Source organism: Homo sapiens, chromosome 12 (genome assembly GCF_000001405.40).
Source record: "Homo sapiens chromosome 12, GRCh38.p14 Primary Assembly".
Lineage (NCBI taxonomy): Eukaryota > Metazoa > Chordata > Mammalia > Primates > Hominidae > Homo > Homo sapiens.
The window spans coordinates 64,573,696-64,597,642 of NC_000012.12; the positions used below are offsets into that span (position 1 = coordinate 64,573,696).

At 42.6% G+C, this 23,947-nt stretch overlaps 1 protein-coding gene, 1 long non-coding RNA gene and 1 other non-coding gene across 4 annotated transcripts in view; 2 read left to right on the top strand and 1 right to left on the bottom strand.

Moving 5' to 3' along the window:
* Positions 1–23,947, top strand: part of RASSF3 (Ras association domain family member 3) — a 190,601-nt gene that overhangs the window by 66,732 nt on the left and 99,922 nt on the right. The gene's annotated exons all lie outside the window — the stretch shown is intronic.
* LOC124903098 (small nucleolar RNA SNORD83) lies at positions 1,970–2,046 on the top strand. Its single transcript, XR_007063623.1, has one exon. It is a non-coding gene; the product is annotated as a small nucleolar RNA SNORD83 (small nucleolar RNA).
* On the bottom strand, positions 6,920–10,555 carry LOC107984521 (uncharacterized). The gene is made up of 2 exons (XR_007063348.1): positions 10,343–10,555; positions 6,920–7,132 (listed from the first exon to the last, which is right to left on the bottom strand). It is a non-coding gene; the product is annotated as an uncharacterized LOC107984521 (long non-coding RNA).

Genomic DNA, 23,947 nt, shown 5'->3' on the forward strand with positions numbered 1-23,947 from the left:
TCACAACATGGCAGCTTGCTTTCCCTGGAGGAAGGGCTGAGAAAGATTGAAGTTTAAATCTTTGTAACCTAACCTCAGCAATGACTTTTCATATCACCATGGCCATTTTCTATTCATTAGAAGCAAGTCACTAGATCCAGCCCCCACTCAAAAGTAAGGATTAGACAGGGTGTCAACAGCAGGAGTCAGGGATCACAGATCACCCCACAGGCTGCCCACCACAGCAAGGTTACTTTAATAATTCAAAATCAATCTATGTAATGTGTCATATTAATAGTACAAAGGAGAAAAATATGATCACCTCAATAGATTAAAAAAATATTTGGGCCAGGCACAGTGGCTTACTCCTGTAATCCTAGCAGTTTGGGAGGCCGAGGTGGGCGGATCACTTGAGGTCAGGAGTTCAAGACCAACCTGGCCAACATGGTGAAAGCCTGCCTCTACTAAAAAAAAAAAAATACAAAAATTAGCCGGGTGTGATGGCTGGGGCTTGTAGTCCCAGCTACTCAGGAGCCTGAGGCAGGAGAATGGCTTGAACCTGGGAGACGGAGGTTGCAGTGAGCCAAGATCATGCTGTTGCACTCCAGCCTGGGCGACAGAGCGAGACTCTGTCTTAAAAAAAAAAAAAAAGAAATATTTGATAAAATTTAATATCCACTGATGATAAAAATCCTTAGCAAACTAGAAATGGGAGCAATTGTTCTTATTCTGGAAATAAGATATAAAATAACATATAGTAGATTGCACTTCTTTGCCCCTCCTGTTTCACACCTTTTGCTATATAATTTTGCAATGCCCTCAATCATGGGCAAAGTTACCCTTGACTCTGGACTCAGGCATATGACTTGCTTTGGCCAGTGGGATATTGGCATATGTGATGCAAGTAAAAATTTGAAATGAGCTTGCCTACTGGGGTTTGCTTTTTTGTTCTTCTACTCTTTACCATGAAAAGAACCTGCCTAAGCTGCTCCTTCTGGTTCCAGGAAGAAGATATGAAATGCGTAGAACATGAGTTCTCCAGCTAAGGTACTCAGTCAAGCCTAGCTGAGAACAGAGCTCCTAGCTGAGCTGCAGATGCATGCATGAGCTCAGCCAAGACCAGCAGAGTGATCTAGCTAAGCATAGCCCAGATCACCTGATTGCCACATATGTGTAAGACATAAGTATCTATTGTTATATATCACTGGCTTTGTGGTTCTTTTGTTATCCAACAAAAGCTAATTGATACAGGTTATCTACAAAAATACCTCAGCAAGTATCAACTTAATGATGAAATGCTAAAAGCTTTCCTCTGAAACTGGAAACTTGCTAAGTTTGCCTGCTACCACTTCTATTTGACCTTGAATGGATACCTTAGCCAATGCAATAAGGCAAGAAAAAGAAATAACAGAAATAAGGATAAAAAAAGAAAGAAAGCTGTCATTTATGTACATAGCAAATCCTAAAGAACCTTCAGATCAAGTTTTGGAATTTTATCTAGGTCACTGAATTCAAATCAACACACATAAACCAATTGTATGTTCTATATACCAGTAACAAAAATAATTGTAAACTGAAATGTTTAAATATAACATCTGGCTGGGCGTGGTGGCTCATGCCTATAATCCCAGCGCTTTGGGAGGCCAAGGCGGGCAGATCATGAGGTCAGGAGATCGAAACCATCCTGGCTAACACAGTCAAACCCCGTCTCTACTAAAAATACAAAAAATTAGCCAGGCGTGGTGGTGGACACCTGTAGTCCCAGCTACTCGGGAGGCTGAGGTAGGAGGATCACTTAACGCCAGGAGTTCAAGGCTGTAATGCAGTATAAGCGTGCCTGAGGATGGCCACTGCACTCCAGCCCGGGCAACCTCACCTCTGTTTGTTTTTTCAATCAAATATCTAGGAATAAAACAAATGAAAGATTTTCAACATCTCCATATAGAAGACTATTATGAAAAACTAAAGATTTTTTTAAAAGAGAGAGAAAGCCAAATGATGCTTATTTGACTCTGGTGCACTTCAGTGTAAGGATGATTTATAATCTGTCACTCATGATTGAAGGCCTTGGAAAAAGAAAAAAAAAACAGGAGTTACATCATATTCATGATTGGAAGACTCCATATGTCAATATTCGATTGTGAATTGTAAATATGTCAATTGTCCCCAAATTTATCTCCTTGGTACATTCTGAAAATTCTCGACAGATTTTTTTTTTTTTTTTTTCTTTTTGAGACGGAGTTTTGCTCTTGTTGCCCAGGCTAGAGTGCAATAGCGCGATCTCGGCTCACCACAACCTCCCCCTCCCAGGTTCAAGCAATTCTCCTACCTCAGCCTCCCAAGTAGCTGGGATTACAGGCATGCACCACCATGCCCGGCTAATTTTATATTTTTAGTAGAGACAGGGTTTCTCCATGTTAAAGCAAGAATAGTTAAAGCAATCTTGGAGAAGACAAAAATGGGAGGATTTTTTTCACAGAAAAATTAAACCAATATAATTAAGACTGTGATTTTGGCTCAAAAATAAACAAACCAAAGGAACAGAACTGAGGGCCTAGAAACAGACTGACACATTTATGGATGCTTAATTTATGACAAACGTGGTGCCCTTGAATGGTCTTTTTAATAAATCCTTCTGGAACGGTTGAATATCTATGGAAGGAAGGAAGAATCTTGACCCTTATCTTACTGTATACATAAAAAATCAACTCCAATTGAATTATATGTAAATCTAAATGTGAAAACTAAAACAATAAAGATTCTAGAGGATATCACAAGAGAATATCTCTAAGATCTTGGGGGTAGGAAAAGATTTATTAAACAGGACACAAAAACCACTAATTACAAAGGAAGTAACTGATACATAGACCAGGGATTGGCAAACTACAGCCCTCAGGTCAAATCTGGCCACCTGTTTTTGTTATCCCAGCACTTTGGGCAGCTGAGGAGGGCAGGTCAGTTGAGCCCAGGAGTTTGAGACCAGCCTGGGCAATGTGGAGAACTCTTGCCCTTCAAAAAATACAAAAATTATCAGGGTATGGTGGCACATGCCTGTAGGCCCAGCTACCCAGGAGGCTGAGGTGGGATGGGAGCCTCAGCCTGGGAGGTTGAGGCTGTAGTGAGCCATGACTGGGCCACTGCACTCCAGCCTGGGCAATGGAGTGAGACCCTGTCTCAAAAAAAAAAAAAAAAAAAACTTGATGATGAAGTATGGGAACATGGAAGAGTATGATATTATACAAAGTAAAGGAAGCAGTGGCATGCATGCTATAATAACAACTATGGAAAATATGAGTGCATCAGGCCAAGGACCAAAGGGTGTTTTGCAAAAAATAAAAAATAGTTGTCTAGGGTAGCAAGTTTTCTCAAAATGATTCCCAAAATTGTTGCATAGTCTTTCTATGAATGATAAACTAAGAAAGAAGGGAATGACTTTCTTTTCTTTGAGAAATCCTATTTTTTCCAAAAATGTATTACAGGTTGTTAAACGCTACTCGGCTGAGTTTCTTAAAAGATTAGCCTGCCCCATAAGGGTTGTGATGGCAGGAATTCTGGCTTCTATTTCTAGCCCTGTTGACAGACTGATGATGAAACTCATGCATGCCCTTTAAGCTTTCCCCATCTTTGAGGCTGGGAGAAATTCCACTTGCTGCTGCCATTTAGCGCTACAATGTTTTAAAAATTAATGAGGTGCATTTACAGCCCAGGATGTTCAGGTGATTGGCTTTCCTTGAGAAATCGGTGTTGTCTGTGAAGAAGATAAACAGTAGGAGTGGTTGGGTTTGGTGGCTCATGCCTATAATTCCAGCACTTTGGTAGTCCAAGGCAGGTGGATCACCTGGGGTCAGGAGTTGGAGACCAGCCTGGCCAACATGGGGGAATCCCCGTCTCTACTAGAAATACAAAAATTAGCTGGGTGTAGTGGCAGGCTCCTCTAGTCTCAACTACTGAGGAGGCTGAGGCACAAGAATCTCTTGAACCCAGGAGGCAGGGGTGGCAGCGAGCCAAGATCACGGCACTGCACTTCAGCCTGGGTAACAGAGCAAGACTCTGTCTCAAAACAAAATCAAAAACAAAAACAAAAAACAGTAGGAGTGCTGTTATGTTGTCAGACATTGAATTCCTGCAACCAACATTTGTTATTGGGCACCTGTTGTGGACAAGAGACTTTTTCAGAGTTATGATTATATGCGAAGATGTCTCAATCATGGTTTCTGCCTTCAAGGAACTTACAGTAGGGTAATGATAAAAATACCTAAAATTGCCAGGTGTGATGGCTCATGCCTGTAATCCCAGCACTTTGGGAGGCCGAGGTGGGCAGATTACTTGAGGTCAGGAGTTTGAGACCAGCCTGGCCAACTTGGTGAAACCCCATCTCTACTAAAAATACAAAAATTAGCTGGGCATGGTGACGGATGCCTGTAATCTGTCCCAGCTACTCGGGAGGCTGAGGCAGGAGAATAACTTGAACCTGGGAGGCGAAGGTTGCAGTGAGCCAAGATCACACCACTGCACTCCAGCCTGGGCAACAGAGTGAGACTCCGTCACAAAGAAGAAAAAAACAAAAACCTAAAATTTACTGAGGGTTTACAATGTGACAGGAACTATGCTAAATGCTTTATGTACGTTAATTTATTTAATTCCAACGACATCCCCAGGGAGGCAGAGGTTATTGTTATCATTTTAAGAGATAATTAGGCCAGGTGTGGTGGCTCCTGCCTGTAATCCTAGTGCTTTGGAAGGCCAAGGCGGGAGGACTGCTTGAGGCCAGGAGTTCAAGACCAGCCTAGGCAATATAGCAAGACCCTGTCTCTACAAAAAATGAAAAAATTAATTTAGTCAGGCATGATAGGGCAAGCCTGGAGTCCCTGCTCCTCTGGACACTGAGGTGGGAGGATTGCTTGAGGCCAAGAGTTTGAGACCAGCCCAGGCAACATAGTGAGATCCCTGTCTTTACAAAAAAAGAAAAAAAGAGAGCAATAGATAATTAAATTGATGGCAAGAGAGGCTAAATAAATACCCAAGGTCGTGAAACTAAATCCACCTGACCCTGAAGGGCTGCCTGGCAGGAAAGCCAATGCTCTTGACTACTCGCCTACACTGCTGCCCAGGCATCAGCCACACTGGGAAGCAACTGCCTCCGTCAGCCAGCTTGCAATTCATAAACTCTATAAAATCATGCCTTTTTGGCTGGGCATGGTGGCTCATGCCTGTAATCCCAGCACTTTAGGAAGCCGAGGTGGGTGGATCACCTGAGGTCAGGAGTTCCAGCCTGGCCTGACCAACAAGGTGAAACAAAAAAATTAGCTGGGTGTGGTGGCGCATGCCTGTAATCCCAGCTACTTGGGAGGCTGAGGCAGGAGAATCGCTTGAACCCAGGATGCAGAGGTTGCAGTGAGCCGAGATTGAGCCGTTGCACTCCAGCCTGGGCAACAAGAGCAAAACTCTGTCTCAAAAAAAAAAAAAATGCCTTTTTGATGGGGTACCAGCTGAACCTACTAATGACACAACCGTGTTAGAAAGTCTGCACCTTTTTTCAGCTTCAAAAGAGTTTCTAATAGAGTGGGAATTGTCAAGTAATCAAGGCATGGAAATAATCATATTTAAGTTATAATTAAGTGTTTTAATATCTATTATTTGGGGGAAGGGAATTATTAGCAATAGCCAAGTTCTTTTTTTTTTTTTTTTTTTGAGACGGAGTCTCTCTCTGTCTGTCGCCCAGGCTGGAGTGCCGTGGCGCGATCTCAGCTCACTGCCACCTCCGCCTCCTGGTTCAAGCAATTCTCCTGCCTCAGCTTCTCCAGTAGTTGGGGCTACAGGTGCCTGCCAACACGCCTGGCTATTTTTTTTGTATTTTTAGTAGAGACTGGGTTTCACCATATTAGCCAGGATGGTCTCAATCTCCTGACCTTGTGATCCGCCTGCCTTGGCCTTCCAAAGTGCTGGGATTACAGGCGTGAGCCACCGCGCCCGGCCAGCAATAGCCAAATTCTTTAATAAACAACTTTTTATTAATGCTATTGCTTTGTGTTGTCTAATATTAAAATATTTCTGTCTTTTTCCAGAAACTATAAGAGATTATAGGGTGAAGATGGACTATGCTGAGTAGGGTACAAAACTAGGTGTTTTTTTGGGTTTTTTTTTTTTTTTTTAAAGACAGAGTATCGCTCTGTTGCCCAGGCTGGAGTGGAATGCAGTGGCGCAATCTTGGCTCACTGCAACCTCTGCCTTCTGGGTTCAAGAGATTCTCCTGCCTCAGCCTCCCTAGTAGCTGGGATTACAGGCATGCGCCACCATGCCTGGCTAATTTTTGTTTTTTCAGTAGAGATGGGGTTTCACCACGTTGGCCAGGCTGGTCTTGAACTCCTGACTTCAAGTGATCTGCCCACCTTGGCCTCCTGAAGTGCTGGGATTATAGGCATGAGCCACTGCGCGCAGCCTTTTTTGTGTTTTGATTCTTCTGATCTGTGCCCCACTTAGGTCCCATAGAATCACAAACTCTCAAGTTTGGAAAGAACTTTCAAGGGTATTTCTGGTATATTATTCACACTTTGGATTACAACCCATTAGTAGATTATGAAACCAGTGAACTGAGTTATAAGAAGCTTAAAAAAAGAATAAAATAAAATTGCACATGGTAAAGGTAAAGGTAGCAGTTAGCAAAACTTTCATTTTAATTATTATATTCATTTTCTAGAACTGCCATAACAAAGTTCCACAAACTCGGTGGCTTAAATCAACAGAGCCGGCACAGTGGTTCACACCTGTAGTCCCAGATTCCTGGGAGGCTGGGGTGGGAAGATGCTTTGAGTCCAGGAGATCGAGGCTGCAGTGAGCTATGATCATGACACTGCACTCCATCCTGGGGGATAGAATGAGACCTTGTCTCTTTTTTAGGAAAACACACACACACACACACACACACACACACACACACACATCCACACAGATAAATTTATTCTGTCATGATTCTGGAGTCTAGAAGCCCAAATCAAGGTGTCAATAAGGCCGTGCAACTCTGGGTAGAATCCTTCCTTGACTCTTCACCTGCAATCCTTGGCATCCCTGGCTTGCAGCTGTATCATTCCAATCTCTGCCTTTGTCACATGGTATTCTCTTGTCTGTGTGTGTCTGTGTCCAAACTTCCCTCTTCCTATAAGGATATCAATTGTACTAGATTAGAGTCCATCCTACTGACCTCATCTTAACTTGTTTATATCTGCAAAGATCCTATTTCCAAATAAGTCACAACCACACGTACCAGGGGTTAAGACTTCATATCTTTTGGGGGTAGGGATTCAACTCATTCAACCTGTAACATATATATATATTTACATGTATCTACTTACACATTTATACATCATATATATTTACATATATATGTAAAACCTATGTATTGAATCACAATGCAAAAATGTGTTTAACATTACTGTGGTAAAAAAAAAAAAGAGAGAGAGAGAGCTTATAAACACTGATTTAAGCTAAGCACTCATCCAGTTCTTCATTTCTTTTGGTAATAACTTGACGATAGTAGTTCTGCCTACACTGAGCCCACTGACAGGTGACTATCTCTGTAGATTCCCCAGGGTTTGGACAATTCTGACTGTTGGCAGGGCTATCAGAGAAGAATTTATTAGAACTCTACACGTAGCTTATAAGGGACCTAGCTGAGCAACTTAAAACATCAGGTTAGTTTGTAGCAGCAGTGGTTACAGGTAAAGTGCTCTTTTGAAACAAAATATAATACAACTTGAAAGTAGTCATGCTTTTCAAGCCTGTAAGCCCAGCCCTTTGGGAGGCCAAGGCAGGCAGCTCACTTGAGCCAGGAGTTTGAGACCAGATTGGGCAACATGGTGAAACCCCGTCTCTACAGAAAAAATAAAAATAAATAAAAATTAGCCAGGTATGGTGGTGTATGCCTGCGGTTCCAGCTACTAGGGAGGATGAGGTGGGAGGATTGCTTGAGCCTGGGGAAAAAGTAGTGATGAAAATTAGAATGTTTTTAAAGTTATAGGCAAATTTGAGGGGTTACATATAATGAAGACCTCATTGCCAAAGCCCAAAGAAGGATGTTTCTTCTTTTTAAATCTGAAAACCTTTCAAAAGAGATTGACCTTTTTTTTTTGTTTTTCTTTTTTGTTTCTTCTTTTTAAATCTGAAAACCTTTCAAAAGAGATTGACCTTTTTTTTTTGTTTTTCTTTTTGTTTTTTGAGACAAGATCTCACTCTGGTGTTCAGGCTGGAGTGCAGTGGCACGATCTTGGCTCCCTTCAGCCTTGACCTTCCAGGCTCAAACAGATCCTTCCACCTCAGTCTCCTGAGTAGCTGGGACTACAGGCATGCCCCACCACACTCGGCCAATTTTTTAGAGAGATGCGGTTGCCCAGGTGGGGGTCTCAAATTCCTGGGCACAAGTGATCCTCTCACCTCGGCCTCCCAAAGTGCTGGGATTACAGGAGAGATCCACTGTGCCCAGCTGACGATGACATTTTTTATTGTAGGAGACAGAAAAATGAACTAGGTCAAAGATCCCCTAACCAAAAGATTAGGGTCTATTGTAAAATCATAACGCTTTCCCTTGTAGATCTTTCAGCCCGTTGCCACCACCCTGCCCAGCTCTCTGAAATGTGCCAAGTTTTCCTTGTCTACTCAGAAACTTTGCTGACAGCACCAGCCTGCTCAGCTAGTGAAAATGCCTCCTGCCAAAAAGATTAACTACACTCATTTTTCTTTAGGTAATTTCATAAATCATTGTGCCTATTTTACTTTGAAAAGCTTTACTATTTTCTTCATAGATGATAATTTAGAGCCTGAAGGACACTTTAGGTAACTGAATCTTTTTCTGTCTTCAAGACATTCAGATTGGAAACAAAGTCTCGTCAGTTACAATCCATTTTGGCACAGAGATTCCTGGATATGGGACTTTGAGGGGTAGGTGAGGAGTGCACCTCAGAATGAAGGAAAGAAGTTGTGGAGTTAGAAAAAGATTCATTCTGAAGCCGTCTCCCTCTCAACACCCACCCTCGAGCTGGCTTAGGAACAAGTACCCTGCGGTGTGCTTCTTAGAGGGAAGAATCAGACCTGGAGTCTTTCATAGCTTCTAACTGTTTGGGGCTTTCTACTTCAAGAAAGACACTGAAGGTTGAGCTAGCCTTCTGATTTGGCACTACTATTGATTTTCCCACACTTTTGGCCAGCGTGTATGTCCATTTATTTTCTCATTTCTCACATGAGCAGGCTGGAAGTGTAGAAAGATCTTCGAGACACTACTTACTCATTTTGAAGTACTTGATCAATCTTTGTGCATAGCAGCATAAACCCTGGACCTGGAAGTGCATATTTCAAAGAGAGCCCTGTACCTTTTGTTCTCTTGCAAGACAAGCAGTTCTCTCCCCTGGAGAGATCTCCTCTACCCCACCTCCGCCCCACTTTCTACTCAAGGCAATGGGAGGTACCTGAGGACCCTTCACATGACACAAAGTATTGAGTCTGTGTTCCAGAATAGGAACAAAATGATCTCTACCCTCTGAGGCAGTTAATGCAGCTGCTTTGTTTAGGCTGTTTCTGAAATTAAAAAGAATCTCCCTTTTTACTCACTGTTAATGGGGTGAAAAGCTCAAGTGTTCCATGTCACACAGGGGAAATCAGATTTGTGTTTCATACAAAAGCAAAGTCAGTGGCTCACGCCTGTAATCCCAGCACTTTGGGAGGCCAATGGGGGTGGATCACCTGAAATCAGGAGTTGGAGACCAGCCTGGCCAACATGGTAAAACTTCATCTCTACTAAAAATACAAAAATTAGCCAGGCATGGTAGCGTGCGCCTGTAGTTCCAGCTACTTGGGAGGCTAAGGCAGGAGAATTGCTTGAACCCGGGAGGCAGAGGTTATAGTGAGCCAAGATTGCGCCATTGCACTCCAGCCTGGATGACAGAGTGAGACTCCGTCTCAAAAACAAAACAAAACAAAACACCAGCGTTTCAGTCATCCACATGATTTTTGCTGGCACCAGGCACACATTGCAACCTCTCTGCCTCGGTTTCCATCCAACTCCTCCACCCTAACAATCCTTACTGTATTCAACTAAAAGAAACCAAGGATCTTGGTGGTGGAATTTGCTTGACTTCTTGTCCTCCAATCACGTCCACTTCCTGTTTTCTTTTAAAGTTCACTGACAAGATCTTATTTTATGTGACAAATATGTTCGGTTTATCTGTGCTATCAATTTCTGATAAACGTACATTTTAATCTGTCAGCCAGTGTTCCAGGCACTAATGCTGCTTAAATGTAGCTGCACAGCTCTTACCCAGAAATGGTGCCGTCCAGCTAAAATCATACATTCAGGCAGCTGATTACAGACACTGACCTTGAGCTCCATTCCTGTGCGGTAATCCAAACCATCTGCACTCAACAACAATTAAAACCTTCAGATCTCTCAGGCGTTTCCTTCCTCTGATTATAACTTATGAGCTGCAGCAAAACTCAGAAAGAAACAGAATTAAAAAGACCAGGCTTTGATGCCAGCTTGATTTCTGCAGGGCAGTTCTCAACAGAGAAATCTCCACTTTATGGAACAGCTCCTTCCTCAGCTGAAATGCAGGCACCTAACATCTAACAAACCTTGAACATTTAATTATGCTGATTCTTTCTTTTGCCCAGAGGGGAAGAGGGACCTTTCATTTCTGGAGCCAGAGTCAGGCAAAACAATGAGGTAGTTTGTCCTGGAGATCTCCTATCACCCTTGTTTTCCATACCTCCCTCTTTGTCTCTCTCATCCACTTTTTATACCCTTAAAGGTCTTGCTGCCTTCTACAAAAGAGGTCCAGGCTAAGAAAAAAAAAAAAAAAAAAAAGCTAAAGAAAGTCAGTGCTCTATTTCTGAACTACTCTATTTCTGATCTCCTTTCTCTCCCTTCAGATATCCTACATCTTCATGACTGTGTCCTTTCCTATGAATTCCAAAGGAAATGCACGCAAACAAATACATTCAGCCAAAGTGTCTAAGAAAGACATAACGGTCACCCTTGGGAGGTGGAGGTGAGGAGTGGTTAGGGAGAGGCCTCACAGAGAATAGATTTCTGATGGGAAGCATCCAACCCTTAGCAAATTTCGGGGGAGAGGGAGGTTTGGTTGGCTGAAGTGCAGCAACTCACATTATACCTGTTCAATGTTGTTCTCAGGATCACCCTGGAAAAGCACAGAAGGATTCTTTTTTTTTTTTTTTTTTTTTTTGAGACAGAGTTTTTTGCTCTGTCACCAAGCTGGAGTGCCGTGGCATGATCTTGGCTCACTGCAACATCCACCTCCCAGGTTCAAGCGATTCTCCTGCCTCAGCCTCCTGAGTAGCTGGGACTACAGGCGCATGCCACCATGCCCAGCTAATATTTGTATTTTTAGTAGAGACAGGGTTTCACCATGTTGGCCAGGATGGTCTCAATCTCTTGACCTCATGATCTGCCTGCCTCGGCCTCCCAGAGTGCTGGGATTACAGGCATGAGCCACCGCACCCGGCCAGAATATTTTCTTAAATGTGAACCAGATTACATCTGATGTTAAAATCCCTACTTCCCTAAAATAAAATCCACATGCTTTACCAAGCCTTAGAAGGCCCTCATGATCTAGCCACCACGCCTGGCCCAGAAGGATTCTTGGAACTGAGACTCTCCAGCAGGAGGGAGGCTGACGACCTAGGGTCACCAAAGGGGATTTCTTGGGCAATCATTGAAAAATCCAAGACCATAAAGATTTCTCTCCCTGACTGGGCACCAGGCTAGGGAGAGAACTTTGGGAATATAGTACATTGTTTTCAGCACTATGATTTGACACAATAGCTCCTAACTCAGATGCCAATGAGTGAAGAGGGGGGAAAATGAGAAGTTTCTTTCCCCACTGGTTCATCTACACTGTTACTGCATTTTGCTAGGCAAGTCCTTTTTTTTTTTTTTTTTTTTTGAGACAGGGTCTTGTTCTGTCACCCAGGCTGCAGTGCAGTGGCATAATCACGGCTCATTCCAGCCTTGATCTCCCAGGCTCACACAATCCTCCTACCTCAGCTTCCCAAGTTGCTGGGACTATAGGCATGTGCCAGCAAGCCTGGTTAATTGTTTAATTTTTTTGTAGAGACAAGGTCTCACCACGTTGTCCAGGCTGGTGTCAAACTCCTGGGCTCAAGCGATCCTCCTGCCTCAGCCTCCCAAAGTACTGGGATTATAGGCATGAGCCGGTGCACCTGGCCAAGTCTTTAACAATTGTTATAGTAGAGAGTCTCTACAAAAACATTTACATTCATAGTGTCCCTTGGTTCTCTTTAGAATCTCCTGAACTAAGCATTTTCATTCTCTTAAAAAACTAGAAAGGAGACCATGCGAGGTGGGCCAGGCACGGTGGCTCACGCCTGTAATCCCAGCACTTTGGGAGGGGGAGGTGGGTGGATCACCTGAAGTCAGGAGTTTGAGACCAGCCTGGCCAACATGGCGAAACCCTGTCTCACTAAAAATACAAAAATTAGCTGGGCATGGTGGCGGGCGCCTGTAATCCCAGCTACTTGAGAGGCTGAGGCAGGAGAATTGCTTGAACCCAGGAGGCGGAGGCGGCAGTGAGCCGAGATTGCACCTCTGCACTCCAGCCTGGGCGACAGTGTGAGACTCTGTGTCAAAAAAAAAAAAAAAAATTAGCTGGGCATGGTGGTATGCACCCGTAGTCCCACCTACTCAGGAGGTTGACACACGAGAATCACTTAAACCTGGGAGGCAGAGGTTGCAGTGAACTGAGATTGTGCCACTGCACTCCAGCCCAAGCAACAGAGCAAGACTCCTTCTCAGAAAAAAAAAAAAAAAAAAAAAAAAGACTAAAAAGTAAAAATCCCCCATAAATTCATTCTCCAGAGATAGTCACTGATTTATATTACAAGTATTATTATTATTATCCTCATTTTGCAGATGAGAAAAGTAAGATCAAGAAAAGTAAAATAGGCCAGGCATTATGGCTCACGCCTGTAATCCCAGCACTTTGGGAGGCCGAGGCAGGCAGATCACTTGAGGTCAGGAGTACAAGACCAGCCTGGCCAACATGGTGAAACCCCTTCCCTACTAAAAATACAAAATTTAGCTGGATGTGGTGGCATGTGCCTGTAATCTCAGCTACTTGGGAGGCTGAGGCAGGAGAATCGCTTGAACACGGGAGGTGGAGGTTGCAGTAAGCGGAGATCATGGCACTGCACTCCAGCTTGGGCAACAGAGCAAAACTCCATCTCAAAAAAAAGAAAAAAGAAAAGTAAAATAATTTACCCCAAACTACTCAGCTCATAAGTCAAATGCTCTATCTCCAAGTTGATATGTTCTTTAAAATCTATTTTCCATATTCCTCGTATTCCTCGCCTCACTTTTTTTTTTTTTTTTTTTGAGACGGAGTTTCGCTCTTGTTGCCCAGGCTGGAGTGCAATGGTGCGATCTTGGCTCACTGCAACCTCCGCCTCCTAGGGTTCAAGCGATTCTCCTGTCTCAGCCTCCCGAGTAGCTGGGATTACAGGCATGCACCACCATGCCCGGCTAATTTTTGTATTTTTGAAATAGAGACAGAGTTTCTCCATGTTGGTCAGGCTGGTCTTGAACTCCCAACCTCAGGCAATCCACCTGCCTCAGCCTCCCAAAGTGCTGGGATTACAGGCGTGAGCCACTGTGCCCGGCCTCCTCTCCTCACTTTTTAATTTGTGAAGTGGTAGTAGTTGCATGTGTATGTGGTTCTTAAATTTTTCTTTTCCCTAAGAAAAAAAGCTAAGAGTTTGAGAACAACCTAATTTGGCTGTTTCATCTACAAGACTGTTATGCTGCCTGGCCAGAGTATTTCCAAGTGGAATGTAAAATACATCATTTAATTTAAAAGACCTTGGTTTTAAGAGTGGGTCACGATTCACAGGATTAATGAGTCTGAAGCCTGGAGGTGTCGCCGTCTTCCTCTCTTTTTCACTTGCGAGGTCAGGGACATATGCATCCAATGCAGAGGGTGGTGGTTTGTGGGCATTTGCCTGGCTGTTAAGCTTCCACAGTTGTGGCTTCTATACTAGGATGCAAGGTCCTGGTTGTTTTTTATGATTCCCACCACTTCCAGCGAGTAACTGTTTGAAGAAAATAGAAACTGTAGGACTTCTATTTTTGTCCTAGTTTAAAATACTGCAACACAGACAATGATATCTCAACCCACGATTTTTTCCAAGATTATACCATTTGGTAGTTCCATGGTATTAACTAAATGAACACCACCCCCAGCTGCATCTTTAAGTTTCTATATTTACCAAAGTACATTTATGTGCTAAATTAGTTTATCAGGAAAGAGCGAGTTATTCCAAGTTTCGCTCAAATGGTTACTGAGAATAAGAAGGAATAATATCATAGGGAATCATTCTTTACATCCCCCCACAACCTTTTTTTTTGAGACATGGTCTCTGTCACCCAGGCTGGAGTGCAGTGGCACCATCTCAGCTCATTGCAATCTCCACCTACTTGGCTTAAGCGATCCTCCCACCTCAGCCTCCTGAGTAATACATTTTGCCTTTTGCTCTGGGGATGAATGAAAGATTAGAAAAGTGAATTCTTGAATTGTCTAGTCAACTGTACATTTTGTAGGCCATTTCTGCATGATACAGAATTGCTGAGGGCTATACAAAAACACTATTAATAATATTCATTATTACAGATTAAAAACTGGCATAGAAGCCTTTAAAATACCTTTTTTTCTGCTGGGCGTGGTGGCTCACGCCTGTAATCCCAGCATTTACAGAGGCAGAAGCAGGAGGATAGCTTAAGCCAGACCCACCTGGGGAATATAGCAAGACTTTGTTCTGCACAAAAAGGAAAAAAAAAGATATCTTTTTTCTTATGATAAATGTATATAATAAATAAAATATATCTATTATTAAAAATTCATTAAATGTAGGAAAGCATTTTTTAAATGTTTAAACAACACATACTCCCACTAGGCTAAAATTATATTCATAAACAATATGGTATATTTCCATCTGGCCTTTTCTCTTTGCATTAGTTATCTTTAAATAAAATTGGAATCACTCTGTATATTTAGTTTTATATTCTACTTTCTGACTTAATATTAAATAATGAGCATTTCTCCGTGGTTTTAAGTAAGATGACTTTTTCCATCCACTTGAGTGGGAATTTTTTTTAAAGATGACTTTAATGTCTATATAATAGAAACACATAAAGACCCTCTTTATGTAACTTTTAATGTGATTGAATCTTTTTAACGGAGTCAAAATGCATATCTTCTAATTCCTATAATTTTTCACGTGACTTCTTTTTGTTTCTGATTCGCAAAAGCTGTCATGACCCAAATTATAAGAAAACCTGAAGGAAACACTGCCTTTTGAAAAATAAAACAAAGTATTCAAATAACACCAAATATGCTACATAAATCAAAGAACAAGAGCCACCTGGGAATTTAATGTGGCAGCCAACTCTCTTTTTCACATTAAAAATGTCAGCATAGGCCAGGCGCAGTGGCTCACGCCTATAATCCCAGCACTTTGGGAGGCTGAGGCGGGTAGATTATTTGAGGTCAGGAGTTCGAGACCAGCCTGGCCAACATGGTGAAACCCCATCTCTACTAAAAATATAAAAATTAGCCGGGTGTGGTGGCACATGCCTGTAATCCCAGCTACTGGGGAGGCTGAGGCAGGAGAACTGCTTGAAATTCAGAGGCGGAGGCTGCAGTGAGCCAAGATTGTGCCACTGCACTCCAGCCTGGGCAACAGAGTGAGACCCTGTCTCAAAAAATAAAATAAGATAAAAATGTCAGCATAATCAAATAGTTAAAGATGACAGTCCACAATTAAAGACTAAAGATAGCCCTCCACATGCCAGTATTGCTTCCACAAGCTTGAGCATAATTTTAAAGCACTTAGCTGTGCTGTTTAAAATCAACAACTTTTTTTTTTTCCATAAAGAAAAGGTGTTTGGCCAAGTGCAGTGGCTCATACCTGTAATCCCAGTACCTTTGAGGCCAAGGCAGGAAGATCACTTGAGCTTGAGTTTGAGACCTGGCTGGGTGTGGTAGCTCATGCCTGTAATCCTAGCACTTTGGGAGGCCAAGATGAGTGGATCACTTGAGGTCAGGAGTTTGAGACCAGCCTGGCCAACATGGTGAAACCCCATCTCTACTAAAATACTAAAATTAGCTGGGCATGGTGGCACGTGCCTGTAACCCCAGCTACTGGGGATGCTGAGGCAGGAGAATGGCTTGAACCCAGAAGATGGAGGTTGCAGTGAGCCAAGATCATGCCCCTGTACTCCAGCCTGGGTGACAGAGCAAGACTCGGTCTCAGGAAAAAAAAAAAAAAAAAAGAGTCTGAGACCAGCATGAGCAAAGTGGCAGAACTCTTATCTCAAAAAAAAAAAAAAAAATTAAATTAGCCAGGTATGATGGTGTGCACCTGTAGTCTCAGCTATTCTGGAGGTTCAGGTAGGAGGATCACTTGAGCCTGGGAGGTCAAGGCTGTAATGAGCTGAGATGGAGCCACTGCACTCTGGCCTGGGTGACAAAAGACCCTGTCAAAAAAAAAAAAAATGGTGTTCAAGACTTAGGCTTGCCCTGTAACAATGTGTTCTGTAACTATTAAATGAACATTAACTTATAAGCTCAATCCTTCTCTATAGGAAGGAATGAGGCCAAGACAGTAAACAGTAAAAACATTCAATAACCACTGTGTTCTACCATGTTTACTTTGTAGACATGAGCCCATGAACCTGACTTTCAAATAAAGGGGAAGAGACACCCTTCATTTTATTGTAGTGTTGACAAGGGAGAGAGATGAACACATATACACACAACACACATATGTGCACGCAAACATTTTTAAGTAGTTTTAGACTATTTATTACATGTGAAATTTAGGGTTTAAAGGTGATCTCTCTAATATGTCTACTATTTAACCAGAGTGCTGGAGTAAAAGCTAAAATATGAATTCTAATCTCATCTCTTGATGTTAACTTCCTCTGTGGTCTGTATATGATAGTTGGTAGCTGACTACCAACTATCCACTAGTACCTGATAGCCAGTTGGCTGATAGGAAACCCTGGTCTCAGTAGTAGGTCAGCTGTGAGCATGGACCCATCACTTAACTTCACCAAGACTCAGTTTCTCATCTGTGAAGTGGCAGTAATTACAGACCCTTTAGGTAACAGTGGGATAACTAGGTGAGAAAGTGCTGTGAGCATTTAAAAGAGCATCAACCAAGACACAGCAAACTATTATTATTGTACTCCGGTTATCTAATTTCTCCATGTAGAAATACAGCTATTAACTGAAATACCTCTCAATGACACAGCGAAACCTTATCTTTGAGAGTTTTTGTAGAGCTTTGAAGATGAAAGGATGCTAAGAGGTTTCTTCACATTAATTCTGGTCCCACCTGATTTTGTGTTAAATGACATGAGGGATGGTGATTGTGTTCTGGTGGAGTTATTAAAAGTGGGCAGCTGCTTCTTTTAAAACCTCTTATTATAGAAGTCAACCTGGCCGGGCGCAGTGGCTCACACCTGTAATCCCAGCACTTTGGGAGGCCGAGGCAGGCGGATCACGAGGTCAGGAGTTTGAGACCAGTCTGGCCAACATAGTGAAACGCCATCTCTACTAAAAATACAAAAAATTAGCCAGATGTGGTGGTGTGCACCAGTAATCCCAGCTACTCAGGAGGCTGAGGCAGGAGAATTGCATGAACCTGGGAGGCGGAGGTTGCAGTGAGCCGAGATCCCGCCACTGCACTCCAGGCCCGGGCCACAGCATGAGACTCCATCTAAAAAAAAAAAGTCAACCTGAGAGAGAATGATATAACAAACCAATCATGTGCATTTAGCAGTTGTCAAGATTTTGCCACACTTGTTTTGTCCATTCTTTTTTTCTTCCTTTTACTCAAGCAAACCCCAGACATCATGTCATTTCATCAATACATATTTCAAGATATATTTCCTTTTTTATTTTTGAGCAATTTTTGTGTGCGTGCCTCTAAATATTCAGTAGGTTCATTTATTTTGTTTTCAATTTAGGAGTTGCTTTTTCCCACTTTTGGTTAAACTTAGATTTTTAGTTATGTAAACATTCATAGAATTTCAAAATCAGAACTATAAACCTAGATATAGTCACATCAGTTGTGCTTCCATTATGTGTTCTCATCTGTTTCCCTCTATCCCCCTACAAATAACTAATTTTTATTATTCCTTCGGTTGCTGTTTTTTTTTTTTTGAGACAGGGTTTTACTGTGTCCCCTAGGCTAGAGTGCAGTGGCACGATCTTGGCTCATTGCAACCTCTGCTTCCCAGACCCACGAGATCCTCCCACCTCAGCCTCCTGAGTAGCTGGGACTACAGGCGTATGCCACATGCCTGGCTAATTTTTGTAATTTTTGTAAAGAGGAGGTTTCACCATGTTGCCCAGGCTGGTCTTGAACTCCTGGGCTCAAGTGATTTGCCCACCTTAGTTTCCCAAAGTGCTGGGATTACAGGCATGAGCCACCACATCAGCTATTCTGTTGCTTCTTTTAAAAAAATATTTTCTAAATAGCCAGCATACTATGAACACTGTTCTGCACTATTCTTTTTAAATGATTTATCCTGGAGGTTATTCCATATCAGTGTACTGAGAGAGTCCTGATTTCTTTTTAATAGCTACATAATATTCCATTAGCCAATTTGCCTAATTGATGGATATTTAGGTTGTTTCCTTTTTTTGTTACTATAAATAATGGTACAGTCTTAACTTTGACCATGAGGCATTTATATTTTTTTTCAGTGTGTCTTTGATATTGTTTCCTACAAGAGGAAATGCATATGTAATTTTGCTGGATACTATGGGATTAGCCTGTCTTGCAATTGTACCATTTTGCATTCCAAACAACCGTATGTGAGAATGCCTGTTTTTCTGCAACCTCAGTAAGGAAGTTGTCTAACTTTTGTATTTTTACCAAGTTTTTTCTGTTTTGAGATAGGGTCTTGCTCTGTTGCCCAGGCTGATGTACAGTGGTACAATCATAGCTCACTGCAGCCTTGAACTCCTGGGCTCAAGGGATTCTCCTGCCTTAGCCTTTCAAATAACTAGGACTACAGGTGCATGCCAAGATGCCTGGCTAATTTTTATTTTATTTTATTTTATTTTTATTTTTTTGTAGAGACAAGGTCTTGCCAGTCTTGAACTCCTGGCTTCAAGTGATCCTCCTTCCTCCTCCCAAAGTAGTGAGATTACAGGCATGAGCCACTGTGCATGACTGGCGTTTGCTCTTCTCGATGTTTGGGAATGTTCTACAGATTATAGATATTTGCTGTTTATGAAAAAATTTGCAAGTACCTTTTCCTCATTTGTTAATTAGAATTACCTCATTAAAAAAATCAAGGTAGAAGTATAATTTACAAACACATTACATTCACACATTTTAGAGCACAGTGCAAGAAGTATATGTATATAATTGTGTAACCCACCATGACCACAATCAAGATTAGTTCCTGTCATTTGCCTTTGGACTCTGCTTATTGCATTCTATTTTGCCATGAAGTTGTGCTTTGTTTTGGAGACAGAGTCTCACACTCTGTTACCCAGACTGGAGTGCAGTAGAGCTATCTCAGCTCACTGCAACCTCCGCTTCTGGGGTTCAAGCAATTCTCCTGCCTCAGCCTCCCAAGTAGCTGGGACTATAGATACATAACACCATGCCTGGCTAATTTTTGTATTTTTAGTAGAGACAGGGTTTTGCCATGTTGCCCAGCTGGTCTTGAACTCCTGGCCTGAAATTATCTGCCCACCTCAGCCTCCCAAAGTGCTGGGATTACAGGCATGAGCTGTGCCTGGCTGAAGTTGTGTTTTTTTAGCTGCTACATCCATGACTTAATGTAAACAGGTTCTTTCAACAAATATCTCATAATTCTCTTCTGTGTTTTAAACAAACAGATTATATAGGCCTAATGTATATTCTAGCTGGGGATATGAGGACACATTATTATAACTAGTATAAATTAACTTCTTTCTGTTAAAGGAACCTCTAAGGTAAAATTTTGAAATCCTGTAGCAAAGCTGAATAGGATTGCTCCTTTTTATTTGAAGGGTCATGGGGCAAGCAGGCGGATCACCTGAGGTCAGGAGTTCAAGACCAGCCTGGCCAACATGGTGAAAGCCCATCTCTACTAAAAATACAAAAATTAGTCAGGTGTGGTGTCAGGTGCCTGTAATCCCAGCTACTCAGGAGGCTGAGGCAGGAGAATCACTTGAACCCAGGAGACAGAAGTTGCAGTGAGCCTAGATCACACTACAGCACTCCAGCCTGGGCGACAGGGTGAGACTCTGTCTCAAAAAAAAAAAAAAAAAAAAAAAAGCAGGGGAGGGCCATGGCTGGGCGTGGTAGCTCACACCTGTGATCATAACACTTTGGGAGGCCAAGGTGGGAGGATTGTTCAAGCCCAGGAGTTCAAAACCAGCCTGGGCAACGTAGTGAGACCCCATCTCTACAAAAAATTTTAAAAATTAGCCAGGCATGGTGGAATGCACCTGTAGTCCCAGCTACTCAGGAAGCTGAGGTGGAAGGATTGCTTGAGCCCAGGAGGTCAAGGCTGCAGTGAGCTATGATTGCACCCCTGCACTCCAGCCTGGGTGACAGAGCAAGATTCTGTCTCAGAAAAAAAAGGGGTGGGGTGTGGGGCATGTAGTAGCCTAGTACTTTCAAACCTTTTTAGCAGAACCCTTTCCTCTCCTCCCACCAATAAAGTTTTTAATCTTGTGTGGAATCTCACTGAATAAACAAAAACAATGTTTTATTACTATAAATTTATTTTTATAAATTTGAATGTATAACCTTTACTTAAAAGGTAATGAAAGCAATTAGGTAATTTTGAGGTAGCCTCAAAAGACTTTTGATACTCTTGCTATTTCCAACATGCTGCTATAAGGAAATCAAAATATACCACTCCAAAATATGCCACTTTGGTATAGCGATTATTTTGCGCTGAAGGCAATAGAGAAACAGCAGACTCAGGGAAAACTCTAAAAACACAGCATACCCTTCCCTTTTGCAAAGAAAATTTACATTTGTAAAGGAAATTTCTTTCTTTTTTTGAGCTGGGGGTGGTACGGTGGTGGGTTTTGCTATGTTACCCAAGCTGGTCTTCTGGTCTTGAACTCTTGGGCTCAAACGATCATCCCACCTTAGCCTCCCAATTAGCTGGGACTATAGGCAGGTACCACCGTGTTTGGCAGAAATTTCTGTTTGTGAAGATGTCCTCTTCTCTACCAGAAAGAGGAGAATGACTCCAAAGACACAGACACACACACAGACACACACACACATGCACACTACATACACACAAACACAACTCTTACCATCTGAGATGACTTTTCATATGAAATCTTTTTTTTTTTTTTTTTTTTTTTGAGACAGTCTTGCTCTGTCGCCCAGGCTGGGGTGCAGTGGTGCAGTCTTGGCTCACAGCTACCTCCGCCTCCCCAGTTCAAGTGATTCTCCTGCCTCAGCCTCCTGAGTAGCTAGGACTATAGTTGTGTGCCACCACGCCAGGCTAATTTTTGTATTTTTAGTAGAGAAGGGGTTTCACCATGTTGGCCAGGCTGGTCTCGAAGTCCTGACCTCAAGTGATCAGCCCGCCTCGGCCTCCCAAAGTGCTGGGATTACAGGCATGAGTCACTGCACCCAGCTTCTTCATAACAAATCTTACAAAACAACTCTTATACACCACACATTTCCTAGTCATCTTCCCCAAACCTACTTCCCCCTGCACCTGGAAGTCCAAAACCACCTTCTCCAGGACTTATTAAATGATATATAAACCCTGGGGAATATTTGCATCTTTGTGCTTTCATTCCTTTTTCTGTGAAGTTCCCATATGCGTATGTAATACATCTTTTTCTCCTGTTAATTTGTTTTTTGTCAATCTAATTTGTAGGCCTCCATGTACAGAACCTAAGAGGATGCAGGGAAAAGTTTCTTCTTCTACACTACCCACATCACAGGAACCTTGCAAGCTTAGTGGAAGACTGAAATGTGTTTGATTGTTTTTGAACTATTAGGGCTCATAAAACAATACCCCAAAATGAGGGTTTCAGAAGCAGCCTAAGAAGCAAAAGTTTTTCTCTGACCTTTTCCTGTCCTCCTTTCTCTCAATCCCATTCTCCCTCAAGTCTAGTCATCGAAACTAGAATCTCTCTTCCCCAAGGCAGGTCATAGAAACCAGAACCCCTTTTCTCCAAAGCCAGCCATAAAACCTAAAAATATTACCCAGACTTTCCCTCCCCCTTTCTTTGTAAAAGCTATCCATAAAGAAATCACCTGACCTAACTTGTTTGACTGTAGGTCAACAAGGGTCCTGCCCCAAACCCAGAAGGAAGGAATGCATGCTCAGAGAGGCCAGGAAGAATCTAGGCAGACAGGCCTTGCTGGGTTTCCCCACTCAGTCTACTAGCATTTGATCAGACCCTTTTTGTCCAATTATATTTTTACATGGCTCTCTGTGCTTTGTTGAACCCAAGCATAAAATGGACATTTTCCCCTGTACTTTTGAGTCTTCATTCTGAAGGCTCTCGTGTATACACGTTAAATAAATTTGTTTGCCTTTTCTTCAGTTAATCTACCTTATGCTAGTTGATTTTTTGGCAAACCTTCAGAGGGACAAGGGGAAAGCTCTCCCTTGGCTCCTGTGTTAGTCTGTTTTGTGTTGCTATAAAGGAAACCCGAAATTGCAAAATTTGTGAAGAAAAGAGGTTTATTTGGCTCACAGTTCTGCAGGCTGTACAAGCATGGCACCAGTGATGTTCAAGGATTTGGAGTTAAATTTCCCAGTGCCCAACAAGTGCTCATCCTGTGCACTGCATGTGTCCCTCGCTAAATGACAGGAAGTTTCACAAACTATGGTCAGAGCTTGTTTGTCTGATCCTTCCCAGTTGGTGTTACAACACAGCCCTCCACCCTCACCCCATGCCCCAACACTCTTTTCTTCATGTCATGCCCTGACTCCACTAGTTCCCAAATTCCCTGCAGATAAAATCTTAACTCTTCAGTATATATATATATATTTTTTTGAGACGGAGTTTTGCTCTTGTTGCCCAGGCTGGAGTGCAATGGCGTGATCTCAGCTCACCGCAACCTCCACCTCCCAGGCTCAAGTGATTCTCCTGCTTCAGCCTCCCAAGTAGCTGGGATTACAGGCATGTGCCACCACACCCGGTTAATTTTGTATTTTTAGTAGAGATCGGGTTTCTCCATGTTGGTCAGGCTGATCTCGAACTCTCAACCTCAGGTGATCCACCCAGGCTGATCTCGAACTCTCAACCTCAGGTGATCCACCCACTTCGGCCTCCTACAATGCTAGGATTACAGGCGTGAGCCACCGCACCCAGCCTCAGTGTATTTTTTTTTAACACGTTGGCCTTCACATATCTGGTCAATTTTTCTCCATTTTATTTTATTTTTTAATTTTTTTCCTGAGATGGAGCCTTGCTCTGTTGCCCAGACTGGAGTGCAGTGGCTCGATCTTCGCTCACTGCAACCTCCACCTCCTGGGTTCAAGCAGTTCTCCTTCCTCAGCCCCTCGAGTAGCTGGGATTGCAGGCATGCACCACCGTACCCAGCTAATTTTTGTATTTTTAGTAGAGACAGAGTTTCACCATGTTGGCCAGGCTGGTCTCAATTTCCTGACCTCGTGATCCACCTGCCTCACCCTCCCAAAATGTTGGGATTACAGGCATGAGCCATGGCACCCGGCCTATTTTATTTTTTATTTTATTTATTTTATTTTTATTTTTATTTTGAGACAGAGTCTCGCTCTATTGCCCAGGCTGGAGTGCAGTGTCACAATCTCAGCTCACTGCAACCTTTCCCTCCCAGGTTCAAGTGATTCTCCTGCCTCAGCCTTCCTAGTGGCTGGGATTTACAGTCGTGCACCACCACGCCTGGCTAATTTTTGTATTTTTAGTAG